The sequence below is a fragment of the Homo sapiens genome, chromosome 8 (assembly GCF_000001405.40).
Source record: "Homo sapiens chromosome 8, GRCh38.p14 Primary Assembly".
Lineage (NCBI taxonomy): Eukaryota > Metazoa > Chordata > Mammalia > Primates > Hominidae > Homo > Homo sapiens.
The window spans coordinates 67,081,012-67,099,122 of record NC_000008.11 but is presented as its reverse complement, the minus strand read 5'-3'; the positions used below and the strand labels follow the sequence as shown (position 1 = coordinate 67,099,122).

The window sequence follows — 18,111 nt, the reverse complement described above, 5'->3', positions numbered from 1 at the left end:
TTTAAATGAAAAAAATATTTTTCTCCCTATTTCCTTGAAGACAAGAGTCAACAACTCTAGTTGATCAGGTAAAAATCGTAATACCCAAAGAAACCAGGTATAGGGTACAGGCCAAGTTTATCCTAAAAATGAACACATGTTAATCTTTAAAAAAAAAAAAAGAAGCTAATGAAACACTCTGAGATGTTAACTGTGGACAATCATTTTTCTCTTTGTTTTCCATTCTTTCCCAATTTTTATATTTACTTTGGTAGCAGTGTTTTCTATTATCAACCCCATCTACTCTGTACCTGGTTTCTTTGGGTATTAAGAAGTAAAACTTCTTTTATTCATTAACATTGGTTAAAGTAAAAGATAATAAAGTAAAATATTAACTTCTACAGTTCAAGTTAATAAATAAGACTAGGATTACTATATTTAAATAGAGCTTATAAATTTCAAAGTATCTTAAGACATGCTATTACATTCTACTTTAGAAAGCTCCTAAAACATGATAAATTTTACTTGAATTGGTAAATATGCATAAATAAACAACACACATACACACACAGAATGCAACTATCAATTACAGTGTTAACCACCTTGTTAATTAAGAATGCTGTCAGTGATTTCATGATATGAGTTTAGGAAGGCAACATCATTTTCTGAGAAAAGTTTTAGCTTTCCCATATTTAAGTATGGGGAAATATTTCATTAATAATTATGGTATATGAAAAAAAAGTAAACGTTTATAGGGTAGAGAAAAATTGAAACCAAAAATAAAAAATTATTATAAACCAAAACTAGAATTTACCAGATGCTGACTTTTAGGAAAGGAAAAAAAAAAAAAAGACCAAAGAAAACTTAGAAGAATGAAGGAAAATTAACTGTGCACTTCTCATAATACATTATAATTATTTTTTGTCAAGAACTTCTGATCAAGATTGCATAGTATGTTAAGAATAAATGCTTGGAGCAAGAGATGAAACTCAGTTCCACATTTCTTTAGTCTCAAAATTTTCACAAATACAGTCATTTCTCCTAAACCAGTCTATTTATAAACTACTGAATGACTGGTCTTTTTTTTTTTTTTGCTGGAAATAAGGAATCTATAAATCTGAAATAAAGAAATCCCATTTTAAATTAAATTGTTAAAGAGACACATAAGAAAAAACACTTGGAGATGTCAGAGTTTATATAAAAACGAAATAAAAATATGATTTATATATTGAAGAAACACTTTAAAGTATTTAACAAGAATTATTCTCACTCAACCTCATGTTTAATCTATTCTTAAATAGTATTTGGAAAAGTTTATATTGAAGGAGTTCATTTTATTTTGGGATACATAAGAAGATATGAGAGTTCTCAAATAGAATGATATTCATTTGTTAGTTCATGTATAAAATTATCACAGGATATAATTATAAAAGTAATAGATTAAAAAAAAACAAAGAAGCAACCATTATGTTTCTTAAAATTCCAAACTTAAAAGGGTATGCATTACATTCACCCTAAACGTAAACAAACACCATAAAGGGAAAAGAAGTTCTCATGTACAAAGGAGACATTATCACCAAGAGTCAAAGATTACTTGCAGTTCCCCAACTGAATTATTTTAGTTTAGTCAGCCTTTAATTACCTTACATATAAGCATTTTCAAATATAACATTATAGGATTTGGAGAATTTTCTGAAGTATAAACAATTAGATTCAGATCAGAGAAACTATAATTGCCATTTCCAAATTCTAATCCTTCATTCAAATTACCTAAATCAAGGTAAATATTAAAAATATTGTGTGAGGACATAACAGCTACAGAATGTAGAAGACAAAGAACTGTAAAAGCTTTGTATTGTAATTAATAGTTAGAATATTGAATGTACAGCACTACCCCGAAAACATTTTCTAAAATACTTAAAAACTAATCTATTTGGACTAGCAAATAAAGCAGGTCCCAAAAGCTACTCAAAATGTATTAACACTTGTCAAGTAAACAAGTCAATGACAAATATGAGACCCTGAGGTATTCCTATCTCCAAAACAAGTTAGGTTAAACTATGGCAAGTATCAATGTATGATAAATACAACAATAAAACCTCATTGTAGCAGTTAAGAAATTATAAATAGTGTCACAAAAACATTCAAAGGAACTGAAAACCATCTGAAAATCTGACTGAAAAAACTTATGACTACAGGAATAAATTGTATTTCATCTATTTTAAGGTATCCTTTTTTCACACGTTTTATTTTATTCATTTATTTTTATTGTTGTTGTTGAGACAGAGTCTCGCTCTGTCGCCCAGGCTGGAGTTCAGTGGCACAATCTCGGCTCACTGCAACCTCTGCCTCCCAGGTTCAAGCGATTCTCCTGCCTCAGCCTCCCGAGTAGCTGGGATTACAGGCACGTCCCACCACGCCTGGCTAATTTTTGTATTTTTAGTAGAGATGGGGTTTCACCATGTTGGTCAGTTTGGTCTCAAACTCCTGACCTCAAGTGATCTGCCTGCCTTGGCCTCCCAAACTGCAGGGATTACAAGCGTGAGGCACAACCCCCAGCCACACTTTTTTTTTTTTTGGAGACAGAGTCTCACCTTACCGCCCAGGCTGGAGCGCAGTGGCGTGATCTCTGCTCACTGCAACCTCTGCCTCCCGGGTTCAAGTGATTCTCCTGCCCCAGCCTTCTGAGTAGCTGGGATTACAGATGCGCACCTCCATGCCTGGCTAATTTTTGTATTTTTAGTAGAGACAGGGTTTCACCCTGTTGGTCAGGCTGGTCTCAACCTCCTTACCTCGCGATCCGCCCGCCTCGGCCTCCCAAAGTGCTGGGATTACAGGCATGAGCCACCATGCCTGGCCACATTTTAATATTGGAAGTCAGAACAGCCAATGACCTGGTTTTATGTCAAGTTATTGCAGAGTTATTTTTCCCCTCATCCAAGAGCACTATGAATTGAGAAAACTCTGAATTCTTGCCTCAAGGTTTCTTTGGACGCTACTGGCAGTATGAATTCGGACTGTGAACTTGAATCATTACTAATTTACACTTCAAATTCTCAAGGAAGGTTGTTTGTATCTTTACTCTCTACTCACTGCCAAGGTTGGGATGTGGACATTTCCTCTCTGTCCCTTTCTGTGGGAATGACTACTTCCAATTCACATACTTTTACATAAAGGGTGTAGCCTTTCAGTTTTCCAACTTTACAACAGGGCCCCCACCTTGAGTGTTTTCTTTTTCCCCTCAGTGGGACATAAAATAATGATGCATCTTAAAACTGACAGCATCTTAGAATTAATTATGATAAATCAAAACTGCTTCTCCCTAGTATAATGATAAAAAGTAACAACAGCAAATATTAACAATTAATTTGCTATATTAAGCAAATAAAATAAAAATGAAGTTGTAAATACCTGTCATTTGTATACACTCTCGAAAGTCTTCTATCAAAATCACTTTCATATCTAAACCTCTCATCCATTTCTTCACTTACTTCAGGATCTTGGTCTGGTCTATGATACCGTCTATCAAAAACACGATCCTCATTAAATCTGTGAAATCTTCTATCTGGAATGCCAGCCTTGCTTGCAAACCTTTGATGTTTTAGGTTGGAAATGCCCACTTCTTCATTTGCTTTTTTAATAATTCTTCTATTCCTTAATTCGATTTCATCATCTAGTTGTCGGTATCTGTCCTCCTCTAGTCGTCTTTGGTTCAGAAGTTCTTCATATGCCTCTGAAGGAGTTAAGACATCTTTTCTAGGACCCTCTGAATTTTCACAAGATGTCTGTATTTGTGAAGTTAGATCAGGCTTAACTTGACCAATAGGTTTTTTATTTCTCTGACTCTTGGGCTGTTCAATTAAAAAAGAAAAAAGAAACAAAACTTGACAAGAAACTATCTCTTATAAGGTAATTAAACCCTCAATTTATACTTAGTCTATCATTTCAACTCTGATGTTTATTTAATCACCCATATATTTATATATATATACGTTTTTACATTAATGTTCACATGAGCTTTACTTGTAATAGCAAAAACCAGAAATAACTCAAATGTCCATCAACAGGGGAATGGATAAACAAGCTGATACAGCCATGCAATGGAACATTACTATGCAACAAAACGGAATGAATCATCCATACATTCAACAACACAAATGAACCTCAAAATAATCATACCGAGTGAAAGAAGCCATATCTCCAAAACTAGTATATCCTGTATGATCCATTTATAGTAAATGATCAAATGTAAACTAGTCTAGGGTGATAGAAGTCAGGTCAGGAAGATCTGGAGACAGTATGGGAATGAGTGGAGGACAGTGAGGACACACAGATTCCAAAGGGTCCCAGAACCACTTTGGGGGATACAGGATACGCTCGTTATCTTGATTGTGGTTTACATATTCTAAAACCCATCAAATTGTGCAGTTTATGAAAAGCTTATTACATAAAAATTCTAGGTGGAGGCCAGTGGATTGCTTGAGCCTGGGAGTTCAAGACCAGCCTAGGCAACATTAATCACCCATATATTTTTTTAGAAAAAAAAATTTCAAGAAAATTTTACCTTTCTGTGGCAGGGCCTGGTGGCTCACGCCTGTAATCCCAGCACTTTGGGAGGCCGAGGCAGGCGGATCACAAGGTCAGGAGTTCAAGACCAGCCTGACCAACATGCTGAAACCCCAACTCTACTAAAAATACAAAAATTAGCCAGGCGTGGTGGCAGGCACCTGTAATCCCAGCTACTCCAGAGGCTGAGGCAGGAGAATCGCCTGAAGCCAGGAAGTGGAGGTTGCAGTGAGCTGACATTGTGCCACTGCATTCCAGCCTGGGTGACAGAGCAAGACTCCGTCTCAAAAAAAAAAAAAAAAAAAAGAGAGGATAAACTAAATGCAAATTCCTATCCCAGGAGATATTACTTCAAAATATTTCAAATTAAATTCTCAACACAAAGGATATAGAAAGTGGTAAATGTTTTGGCCCCAGATACATCAATCATCCTTTTTTTTTTTTTTTTTTTTTTTTTTCAGACCAGGTCTCGCTCTGTCACCCAGGCTGGAGTGCAGTGAGGCAATCTTGGCTCACTGCAACCTCTGCCTCCCAGGTTCAAGCGATTCTCCTGCCTCAGCCTCCCAAGTAGTTGGGATTACAGGCACCTGCCACCATGTCCGGCTAATTGATCCTTAAATTTTGAAAAAAACAAACATAGCTAGGAATTGTCATCATAAAAACTCATTTAAATTTTTAAAAATAAATGAAAATCACTTAACAAAACTGATCTCTAAAATTAAATCTCCCCAATTAAATGTTAAAAGTTCTTCAATATGAGATAAAATAACTTCCAAAACTAAATATTTAAATGTCCTGTGTTTGGTTTAATTTGGCTTAATTTTGCAAGTATTTACAAAAAAAAGTAAAATGTCTAAAATAGAAAAAGCTTTTCAAGTACAAAATATTCAACCTGTGGTAGTAGTAGTACAGATTTAATTCAAAAGCAAAACCTACCTCAGTACTCTTTTCCACCTGCCTGAACTTTTCACTGGATTCTTCCTTACCCCTGAGAAACTGATTGTATTCTTTGTTACGTTCAAGTTTCAACCTTTCCTTAAAATAAAAATCAAAAGGCAATGTTAAAATTCAACTTCAGGAAAAAAAAATCCCTCAATGTCCTATCAGAATGTCAAATCTGAATCATACATATCAGAACTCTTACCCAGAATCAAGCTTTACTAATAATTTCAAGGACAGATGTCACTGAAAGGCATGGGAGAAGTCGGAAGAGGTTTGAGGACACACATACAGCTCCCCAGGTCTTTCTTGTCACATGAGAATATGCATGACTACATGCTTTGGTCCATTAATACATGAGGTCTCTAACAGAAGGGAGTTGCTTCGTTCATGAAACATCTCCATTTTACACTCCAATAGTTAACAGAGCTTAGATGACATTTTCCAAAGAGCCATGCCACATAAATCCATAGATTCCAGGTTTGATTCCCAACAGCAATCCTAGACAAACCAGGTGTATTCTGCCAAAAGCATTCAGAGATAAATCTCTCCCACTAGTAAATATGATGATTGTGTTTGCCAGGAGATCTGTCATTAGCATGTTTCCAAAGAGATATGATGGGGTTACCTTCCTTCTTTCCTTCTCAGGGACACCTCCCTCTCCTAATGCCCAACCCACTCCCCTGAAGCACCTGCTGCTAACCATTTGCTTTCCAAGGTTAAAAAATGATCCTTTATATTTTAAACTTAAAAAGAAAAATTATCACAGATTATAAAATATTATAATGAAATGTTCTGTTAAAACATAAATATATGATTAAAAAATGTTCTTAAATTTTAATACTCCCGTGTCGCTAAAACAACACAATCTAAAAAAGTACTAAAGAAACTAGGTCAGCTGGGAGCGGTGGCTCACGCCTGTAATGCCAGTACTTTGGGAGGCTGAGGCGGGTGGATCACGAGGTCAGGAGCTCGAGACCAGCCTGGCCTACATTGTGAAACACCATCTCTACTAAAAACACAAAAAATTAGCGGGGCTTGGTGGCAGGGGCCTGTAATCCTGCCTCCAGCTACTCAGGAGGCTGATGCAGGAGAATCGCTTGAACTGGGGAGGTGGAGGTTGCAGTGAGCCAAGACCCCGCCACTGCCCTCCAGCCTGGGCAACGGGGTGATACTTCGTCTCAAAAAAAAAGAAACTAGGTCTGTCTTTTGAAATTTATTAACTGTCCATTTTGTCTTATATACTATTTCATGATCTCTGATATACTCTGGTGAGACCTGAGTCACTACAAGAGGTGTACAGTGCTTTATTACTTTCATCTCTAAGGAATATGGACGTGTATTAATGGAGTGTCAGAATCACACATTCAAAGAACCCTTACCCTCACCCTATATAAAAGCTCACTATAATTTCACATCCACTTATTCCAATAACTGTGTTACATAGCATAAACTTTATAGTCAGAAATCAATGCTGAAAAAAATGAATTCTGAATATTCAGTTAAGTATAACTGAATACAGCAAAAGAATCAACATATTAAAGAAATATAAAATTATATGGTTACAAATGTTGTGTTCAAGAAAATTTTTTTAAACAGCATAAATATGACTCCACGGATTTTTGAAATAGAAATATATTCAAGTGTGGGGAAATGATGTGATCTTCCATTTGCATTTAAATCAGCAGTATGTTCTTTAATGATTTTGATGCCTCGGAAAACTGGTACCCACAATAACTACTCCTATCCACCTACCTTAGCAGATAACCTCTCACCAATAGGAAGAGAAACTCCCAAAGTAGATGGATCTGTTTCACTCGTAGATAGAAAATTTTTCTGTATATATACACATTAAAAAAATATATTACCTAATTGCCTTTATAAAATATGTTGCATAAATGTGTCTTTGCATTCTATATTCTAAACTAGTATTATATTATGCAGAGCAAATGAATGAAATGGAATGAAGACAGAAACTACAAATCTATATAGACCATACCAAAAGCATTTGGAAAAAAGAGAATTTTCTTCCAATCAACAACTCCCTGAAAGGGAAAATCAGGCCTTAATTTTCATGTGCAATATATACGTCTATTGATTCAAGATGATTAGAAGCATGAAAAAAAATTTCCCAATTTCGTCTTCTAAGCATGTACTCTTCATTATCAGTGCTCTACTGTCTTTTTGTTCTCAAGGCAAATTTAAACTTCCTCACAAATATCTTAATGCATGCCACAAGTTTTTTTTCTATTTTTCCTATAATTATGTGAGTGAATATCTACTGAAATGCCAATAGATATAAACTATGAATGTTGTTTATGTGTTCCTCCAATCTTGTTCATTAAGCATTTAAGTAATGCAGTGTAGTAGAGGCAGCATTAGACTAGCAGTCAAAAGACCTAGGATCTACAACTAGCCCAAGCACTTATCAGTTGTGTAACAATGGGGAAGTCACTTAACTTTTCTGACAGACACTTTCTTCTTCTGCAAAATGAGAATAGTACCTGCTCTGCCTACCTACCAAAGCTGGTATAAGGATGAAGGAGGACAAAAAATATAAAATCGCTTTGAAAGCTGTAAAGCAAATACAAAGAACTGGAAAAAAAAAATACACATGATCCCCAATTGGTAAAAAAATACATATGATCTCCAACTTTCTGGTACTGTTACTTAGCAGTCAAATACTTTGGAATAATTTACTTCACTTCATTTCAGTTTCCTTGTCTATAAAACAGAAATAATGCCATCTACACATCACTAGGTTATAAGGATAAAATCAATCAATAATTGTCAACCTGCCTAATTCCATGCCTTTTATTTATTCATTAAACAAGCAATTAGCAACCATCTAATACTATGCAGGTACTATTTTCAGATGGTAGGGATACAAATATATTTTCCCTATATTCAAGGGATTTACAATTCAGTAGCAGAAACAGACATGTAAGCAAATAACCGCAAAACAACGTATTAACTACAATAGCGTTGTATTCAAAACATTATGGAAAGATAGTAATTAGCAAAACTAAGTGATTAATAAAGTTTCATTAAATCTGGCCAGGCAGGGTGGCTCATACCTGTAATCCTAGCAGGTTGGGAGGTTGAGGCAGGCAGATCACTTGAGCTCAGGAGTTCGGACCAGCCTGGGCAACAAGGCGAAACCCCCTCTACTAAAAACACAAAAAATTAGCCGGGCTTGGGGCCGCGCACCTGTAGTCCCAGCTACTTGGGAGGCTGAGGCAGGAGAATCACCTGAACCCAAAAAGCGGAGGTTGCAGCAAGCCAAGATCAGCACCACCGCACTCTAGCCTGGGTGACAGAGTGAGAATCTGTCTCAAAAATAAATAAATAAAGTGTCATTAAATCTGAATTTACAAATGAGTTGTGCTACAAAAGCTAATTTGAAAGTTGGCTGTATGGAACTCTAAACTTACCTGACAAGGAAAAAATAAGACACATGACCAGATCCCTGAGTGATTTTACCTCCTATATACTGAAGTACACTATAAACCTAATTATTTTGTAGAGTTATAAATGCATGAAAAACCCATTCATAGTTCCAACCAGGAAGATAGATTTAACATCCTCACTCCTTCACTGGGCAATTTCCCATTCCAAACATGGGTCAAGAATGATGTTTGAAATTTTCAATAAAATGAAAAGAATAAACAATAACAACAACATAGGCAGGGAGTGGTGGCTCATGTCTGTAATCCCAGCACTTTGGGAGGCCAAGGCAGGAGGGACACTTGAGCCCAAGAGTTCAAGACCAGCTTGAGTATTTAAAAAAAAAAACAAAAAAAAAACTTTTTTTTATTACCCTGTCTCTACCAAAAAAACTTTAATTCTTAAAAAAAGAACAACATAGTGAGTTTTTTCAAAAAGCTAAATTTTAATCATTCATTCATTCATTCATTCAATAAATACTGAGTGCCTACCATGTGCCCAAACTTTCTGATACATTTGGGACTGAAAAAAACAGATAAAGATTCCTGTCCTCCAAAAGCATACATTCAAGCTGGGGAAAATGAAAAAGAAATAATAAACATAATGAGGAGTAATTATACAGCATGCTAGAAGGTAATAATTACTGTGACAAAAAGGAAATTAAAAGGACAGGCTACGGATAGTGCAGGTTTATCAGCCATGAGGGTGGGAAGAACAGAAATCAAGAATTCTCTTTTGGACATGGTCTACATAAGATATCAGGTAGATTTCAAAGTGAAAATGTGAATTATGCAGCCAGCTAGAAAACTCTGAAGTTCAGGATGGAGGTCTGGGCTGGGGATATTAATTAACTGACTCAATTTAAAAACTGTTCCCCTGAGAACATGTCTTTTCTGTGTTTAGATGGTCAAGCATCTTTTATTCTAAAAACAGGAAACCATCTCTGGGCAGGAAGGGCACAGGAAAAAAAAATTAATTAAAACACGAAAAAAGATGGTAGTTGTTTGTTTTAATAACTCTTCTTGACAAAATTAAAAGATTTGATTTTTTTTAAAAACTCAAATATCCATGCAATCCAAGTCTGGAAGCCACAAGAGATATGAGTGGGACTTGGAAACCATACATATTTCAGGGGGTCCAGGAAGCTGCAGCCAGCTCCCTATAGTCTGTGTAGTTTTCTTTTTCTCTTGCTTTCCCTTCCAGTCCCACCTTCTCAAATGTGAACAAAAGACTGTCTCTCTAATTTTAAGGAAATAGTGCTCCTCTACAAGACTATATTCTTTTTTTTTTTTTTTGAGACGGATTCTCACTCTGTCGCCCAGGCTGGAGTGCAGTGGCGCGATCTCGGCTCACTGCAAGCTCCGCCTCCAGGGTTCACGCCATTCTCCTGCCTCAGCCTCCCGAGTAGCTGGGACTACAGGCGCCTGCCACCACGCCAGGCTAATTTTTTTGTATTTTTAGTAGAGACGGGGTTTCAACGTGTTAGCCAGGATGGTCTCGATTTCCTGACCTTGTGATCTGCCCGCCTCTGCCTCCCAAAGTACTGGGATTACAGGCGTCAGCCGTGCCCCCGGCCGACTATATTCTTAATAATCTCAAAAACTGGCCGGGTGCGGTGGCTCATGCCTGTAATCCCAGCACTTTAGGAGGCCGAAGTGGGCAGATCACAAGGTCAGGAGTTTGAGACCAGCCTGGCCAATATGGTGAAACCCCGTCTCTACTAAAAGTACAAAAAAATTAGCCAGGCATGGTGGTGGACGCCTGTAGTTCCAGCTACTCCGGGAGCTGAGGCAAAAGAATCGCTTGAACCCAGGAGGCTGAGATTACAGTCAGCCAAGATCGTACCACTGCACTCCAGCCTGGGCGACAGAGCAAGACTCTGTCTCAAAAAAAAACCAAAAAACAAACAAAAAAATCTTAAAAAACTCCTTCACATCCCTTTGAATTTAAAGATTTGTACTTTCATGACGGCAATTTCTTCTCATGTCCCCCACCACTATCCTTTTTAAAAATCTTACCTAGGGAGTAATGCAAAACCTACAAGAGAAAATGGTAGATATCTGATACCAGAGGAAAACTCCACCCAATAAGAAAAAGTAGGGAAGGGGAAGATAATGAGGTATAAGCCCAGGGAGTCAGGCTGGAACACGAAAGACATGTGCCATGCTAAGGAATTTGAATTTTTATCCTGGAGGCAGTTAGAGGATACTGACATATTTAAATAAGTTAGGGACTGAATCATTCTGGAAAATAGCTTGGAGGGTGAAGTGAAAATTAGCGCGAGGAAATCAGTTAAGAAGTTGGGCAGCAATTTAACACAATGAGAGTCTCTACATGCAGAACTAACTGTCCTAAAACACAGTTACCATGCTCTTCACAAGCTATTTAAGAAAGTATGATGCTCATCACTGACTATTACATATAACAAGTTAAAAATCCACTGCCTTCTAATTTGATCCTATCCTATATACATCATTATTTCTTACTACTCTCAAAAAGAATGATACTCTGACCCAGTCAGGCTGGTAAACCTAATATGCCTCATTCATACAAAGCTAAAGTCTACCCTCTAGGTCCTCCTTTACTCTATGCTTTCCATCTGAAAAGCTTTCTCGCTTCGATTCTCTCTCCAGATCACCCAAATCTAGATTGCCTCACAAAATAGAAATTCCCACTATGAGGACTATCTTGATCATTATATCCTTCTTGTAGTTACCACTTTCTGAATCGTATGAATGCTATCTCTACAACTAAATTCTAAGCCTCTTGAAGACAGGATGCATACCTGATATATCTTCATAATAAGTGTTTAAAATATGTTAGTTGAATGGTGAATCTGTGAGATTCCTTTTAAAACCAGTTTTGTAAAACCATAAACTGTTTCTCTTTGTTTTCCAATATAAATGGACAATGCAATCTATAGATTTTGGTGGAAAAACAGAGTAATCCAAATTCTCACAACATGTAGTTCAAATATCTTGGATATTCTACTACTCTATTAATCTTACTGTGATTAGTGTAATTTGAGAAATAAAAAATTGCATGCTGAAAACAGACTTAACTGCAGAATATTCAAAAAGAATGCATAAGAAAGCAATAAACACAAATGCAAAGCAGGAATCAAAAGTAATGACTATATTAACGGAAAATTATAATGTGTATGCTGTCATCTGCTAAAAGCAAGAATACAAAATGGTGCCATTCAAACATCTCAAAATCACAAATGAACCCGTTTTCCTAATTGGTTTGAATCTCATAAATGCAAATGATTGCAACCTTCTAGATCGTAAAAAAAAAAAAAAAGAAAGAAAAAACTGAAGGAGGACGTATTGCAGACAACCCTACCTTTCTTTTCCCTTGTGTAATGCCCTAAAGTCAAGGGAAACAAACCATTGACAAAGTGTATTAAGTCAAAGTTCATTCTCTCCATGTGTAAATCAGAATAAGAGACATTTGTACACTTGGAACAAACATAAAGCAGTAAAAAACTAAAGAATATTTTGAGATGACAACAAATATCATAATTGTTTAAAATAATTTTATAACCTAAATTTAAAACTTACAATAAACCTTACTTTGGCCATTATATAATTTAACAAAAATACTCAAGAGTTCTGCTAAGTAAAACATGAGATCATAAAACAAAAGCTTTAGTGGCTAAATAATTAAATGTAATTTTATAAGCTTGGCTCATAGGAAAATAATTAGCAACTAGAACTCCATATGTCATTTTAATACATAGTTGGGGGGTGTAGAAGAGTGGGAAACCATGATTGGACTACTTCAAACCATGACAACTTTACAGAAAACATGAAAAACCATAATTAACGATCTCACTTAAAATTAGAATCCACTGCCTTAGTCAAAAGGTCAAAAGTCTGTATCATTCTATGGCACCGGTTCTCAGCAATATTTTTTTCTCTACCAATGTCATATATGCCACTTAACTTTGACTATACTACTACTTTGCTAGTACCACTGAAAACCTAAAAATTAACACATATGACTAATACCTTATGAAAACAAATTTAGGAGCTGAATTCTGAAACATTAAACCCAACTCATTAATAGAACTCATTACCTGAGTAAGATAACGTCTGTAATCTTGCCGCAATTCTTCTTTTAATTTATGTTTCTTCCGTTCATAGTCTTCTCCAAGTGGTAAACTTAATCCATAATCAATTCCTAGAAAAAAAACAACTTCTTAGTATAATTCATTTTCAAACCAATCTCAAAGTTCTACTTCCTGTAACAAAGCACAGTAAGAAGGAACAGAATTATGCTTATTCCAAGAGTAGGATTAGGGTAAGTTTTTTACTTAAAATGTCTCAATAGATAATACATTCAGATAATCAAAAATATTATCAAAAATATCATTCTCATCCATGAGCCCTAGCCACCCTGTTCTCCTGTCCAGAACAACAAACATTGTTATTTCTTGTCTCCATGCAGATAATTTTTTAATGCACCTATAAACAGATACTTTTATATTATCATATACATATTTATATGCATGTGTGCATTATATTCACTTTTTCCTCCAGTTAAGACAAGTAGTCCAGCATTGTTTGGCATCTTGCTTTCTCAAGAACAGCAAAATTAAAGAAAAACTAATTATCTTTACATCTTCACTTAATTATACACTAATTTCTATAAAAATAAATACCAACAACAATTTTAATGCATCATTTTCAGTCTAGGAAAACTAATAACATGATTTTTTTTAGCATACAAGAATATCTTTAATATAACATGTTTCTGAGAAAAAATTATTAGGGCCATGTGTTGCTTAGAATCACATTTCTTTTTTTTTTTTTAATTTTCTTTTTGTATCAAAGAGCATTCAGATAGGATGAAATTCCTAAAAACTTCTAAAGTTAAACCACTTCTGATTTCATAAAAATGGATATTAATTTTTATTGTGGTAAAATGTATATAATATAAAACCTACCATTTTAATCATTTTAAGCATTCAATTCAGTGGCATTAAGTACATTTACAATGTTGTACAACCATCATCACTATCCATTTCCAGAATTTTTTCATCATCCCAAACAGAAACTCTGTAAATGGATGTTAATTTTTGAAGAAAAACTTCGAATTTGAGTAGTATTTCCTTACACAAAATTTAAAAATCAAATTACATTTAGGGATGATGACAATGATGACTGTACAACTTGTAAATATACTAAAAACCATTGAATTGTACACTTTAAATAGGTAAATGTTATGGTGTGTAAATTATATCTCAACAAAGCTATCAAAAATCAAATTATATACTTTTCAAACCTTCAATAATAAAATACTATGTCAAGAAGCATAGACATTAGATGAGTATTCAGATCTGAAGCTTCATCCCTTTTTTAGTCCTACTATACACATAATACTATAGTATTAAAAAATTATCATTTCTAAACAAAATAAAACTTGGCTTTTTTTTTTTTCTCTCTCTTTAGACAGGGTCTCGCTCTGTTACCTAGGCTTGAGTGCAGTGGCGTGATCATGGCACATTGCAGCCTCAACCTCCTGGCCTCAAGCAATCCTCCCATCTCAGCCTCCCGAGTAGCTAGGACTACAGGCATGCACCACCACGCCTGGCCAAAACTTTCCTTAAAGATTCAGCTATGAGCACTATAGATGAAATAAAATTTGACTGTAGTTTATAAACTGATATAAAAATCACCATTTTGTGCCTTATTTCTCACAATGTAGCTGAATGATGGGAACTTTTCAAGAATGTGTCATATCACTGCTTACTACATCACTGAAACATTTCAGGCAGGGAAAAGGCCAGTGTAATATAAACATAAGTGGATGTTTATGGATTCTTACAGAATACTAAAATCCACTTACCGCTATCAACACTGGAATTCTCTTGATAAACATTTCTGGCCTATTTAACTCCTTGATGATAGAGGGTATAACAGAGGATTCCTTAGGGACACCTCTTACACATGCTTCTAACTCTCTTCCAAAAGAAACTAAAGCATTCCATATGCTTGGAATTTTAAATCATCCTAGAAAGGAACTGTTTCCTTTTGAAGGAATCTAAACCTTTTTTTAAAGATACAGAATTTAAGCCTAAGGAGAGAAAGTTTTGATTCTCATGTTCAGAATGGAACATCATATATAAAACTAAACTATAAAATCTATGAAGGCAAGGCCCATGCGCTATTCAATTTTATAATGCTGGCACATAACTTTAACCCAAGAAAATGTTCATTGAATAAATCTGCAAATGAATATATGAATGAGTGCCTGAGACAGAGGAAGAAATGAGAAAAGGTGAGGGGGAACAATATACTATACTTAATATTCCATTTCTCCTGTTAGCGGTCTGACTGCATAGAGAGAGGTAGTTACCAAAGTTACATATCACTAGTCACACAGGGTCACAATGGATGTTCTATTGTGCCAAGGAGTAAAAGACAACAATGCTGCCAGGATGATGCCAACACACTACCTGCCCATCCAGGAACAAGCAATTTACAAATTTACAAAAAGTGTAAGTTTAAGGTGGCTTTTACTGCTGTTTTTCAATTCTACTTGGGGGTTTATGTGGAAGAATGGAAAGAAAAACATAATTCATTTTCATTTACATTATTATTCATATATACATATATATATATATATATATATATATTTTTTTTTTTTTTTTTTGAGACAAAGTCTCACTCTGTTGCCCAGGCTGGAGTGCAGTGGCGCAATCTTGGCTCACTGCAACCTCCACCTCCCAGGTTCAAGTGATTCTCCTGCCTCAGCCTCTCAAGTAGCTGGGATTACAGGCACCTGCCACCACACCTGGCTAATTTTTGTATTTTTAGTGGAGGCGGGGTTTCACCATATTGGCCAGGCTGGTCTCAAACTCCTGACCTCATGATCCGCCCACCTTGGCCTCCCAAAGTGCTGGGATTACAGGCCTCAGCCACTGCGCCCGGCCTATTATTCATATTAAGTTAAATTTTTATTTACTAAGAGTATTTGTTTTTCACTATTAATTCAAATAGTATTGTAAAATTGTCTTGACAAGTAACAATATATAATGCCTTCTGAGTTATTTATAACTTTATTAATTTAATGTTTAGTCAACAGAAAACACTAACTTTTTAATTCTTATTTTGTCATCTTGTACCAACATTTTATGGCATTAGAGGTAAGTCACAGACATAAAATTAGGAACTGTATAGAACAATGTAAATATCCTATTCTTTTAAACCATGCATTAACAATAGCATCTCAATTGACTTAATGAGCTAAGGAACACGGTGAGGCTTACTTATTGTGCCTGTTGTCTTCTGATGGATCTAGCAGCAAGTAAAGCATTTGTGTCATTTTAGGGTCATTTGAAGTGATGTCACTTCATCAAGTATAACATCAATGACCCTAAGATAGTTAACATTATGCTTCAGAACTATAGTAATTAGAAGTATTTGGTTTCTATAACAGTTGTGGCTTACATAAAATACTTAAGACTAAAGTATATAACTTCTTCATAATTAATTTACCTTCTAACAGAGCATTCATCATAATTACTCTATGAAACAAATTACCATAGAACATTTACTTTCTTTTCATTATTATACTACCATGAAAAAGCATTATGTAAAAATAATCAAAAGACAAATTATAGGAAATAATAATAGGCCTTTACACAATGGGTGACTTACAAGGAGATGTGACTAATTGAGGAGACACTGTACTCTTAAATTTCAGCTATAAAGGTATCACTACAAGGACCCATTTCACTCATACAAAATGAATAAAAACTGTAGAAGAGTATCTGTGATTTAGTTTACAATAGGATAAACCTAAGACAAAGAGGAATGATAATTAAAACTACAAGGCTGGGTGCTGTGGGTCACGCCTGTAATCCCAGCACTTTGGGAGGCCAAGGTGGGTGGATTACTTGAGGTAAGGAGCTCGAGACCAGCCTGACCAAGATGGTGAAACCCTGTCTCTATGAAAAGCACAAAAAAAGTAGCTGGGTGTGGTGGCAGGCACCTGTAATCTCAGCTACTCAGGAGGCTGAGGCAGGAGAATAGCTTGAACCCAGGAGGCAGAGGTTGCAGTGAGCCGAGATCGCGCCACTGCACTCCAGCCTGGGCAACAGAGCGAGACTCTATCTCAAAACAAATAATTAAAACTACAACTAGACAGATGCAGTGGCACAAACCTATAGTCTCAACTACTTAGGAGCCAGAGAAGGGAGGATCGTTTGAACCCAAGAGTTCAAAACCAGCCGGGGCAACATACCAAGACTCTATCTCTACAAAAAATTTAAAAATTAGGCATGGTGGCCTGAGCCTGTAGTCCTAGCTAGTCGAGAGGTTGAGGCAGGAAGATCCCCAGAGCCCAGGAGTTTTAAGCTGCAGTAAGCTATTATGGTGCCACTGCACACGAGCCTGGATGACAGAGCAAGATCCTCTCCCTTAAAAAAACTGGGTGGTGGGGAGAAACTACATGTTTTAAGACCTTGACACATTTGTATCAAAACATTTTTAAAAGATTAATGGGAGCATTTAAATGATTAATATAAGTATTTCAACAATATTGATTATTGTTAATAATACCAGTAATGGTTGTTAAACAATAATAAGTTAGTAAGAATTTCTTTTAATGAAATAAACACAAACATTATGCCTAGAAACAGTTTAGGGAGATAAAAGATCTTTTATAGATCACTTTCAGGTGACTTTCTCTTAATTTAATATTACTAGTATTCTGACAAACTCCTTATTAAAGACATTTTTTCATTAGCTTATATGAACTAAATCATGTACATCCTATGTGTAATTAAAAAATTGGCTTGGAAAAGAAAAAAGAAAAAAAAAATTGAATCCTTTGTCTCCAGTTTCTGGGAGGTAACCTCTAAATCCTTAAAATTTTCCAGACAATGGGAATGTCTTTATTATTCACAGTGGACACCTTGGACCACACCTAATAGTTTACACGAACAACGTAAATCATTGTGAGCCCCTAGTGGGTTTGACCTTAAAATTTACCAGATGATGGGAATGTCTTTATTATTCACAGTGGGTACCTTGGACCATACCTAACAGTTTATACTAACGAAGTGAATCATTGTGAACCCCTAGAGAGTTTATGCTACAGAGAAGACAAAAACGGGAGCTGGTCATGCCAGAAAAACCAACCATGTGATTTGAGGGTTGGGCCTTTGCG

At 35.6% G+C, this 18,111-nt stretch overlaps 1 protein-coding gene across 35 annotated transcripts in view; it reads right to left on the bottom strand.

Annotated features, from left to right (window-relative positions):
- Nucleotides 1–18,111, bottom strand: part of CSPP1 (centrosome and spindle pole associated protein 1) — a 132,247-nt gene that overhangs the window by 97,492 nt on the left and 16,644 nt on the right. For 13 of the 35 annotated variants that reach the window (XM_011517598.3, XM_047422253.1, XM_047422245.1 and 10 more), the window contains exons 4-8: nt 13,013–13,116; nt 12,277–12,300; nt 7,240–7,320; nt 5,482–5,580; nt 3,391–3,830 (exon numbers count right to left, since the gene is read on the bottom strand). In XM_011517598.3, the coding sequence (XP_011515900.2) occupies nt 3,391–3,830; nt 5,482–5,580; nt 7,240–7,320; nt 12,277–12,300; nt 13,013–13,116 (748 nt within the window). Of the gene's footprint in view, nt 1–3,390; nt 3,831–5,481; nt 5,581–7,239; nt 7,321–12,276; nt 12,301–13,012; nt 13,117–14,784; nt 15,276–18,111 lie in introns of those variants that run through there. The other 22 variants (XM_011517601.3, XM_017013849.3, XM_047422255.1 and 19 more) reach the window with 4 other exon arrangements.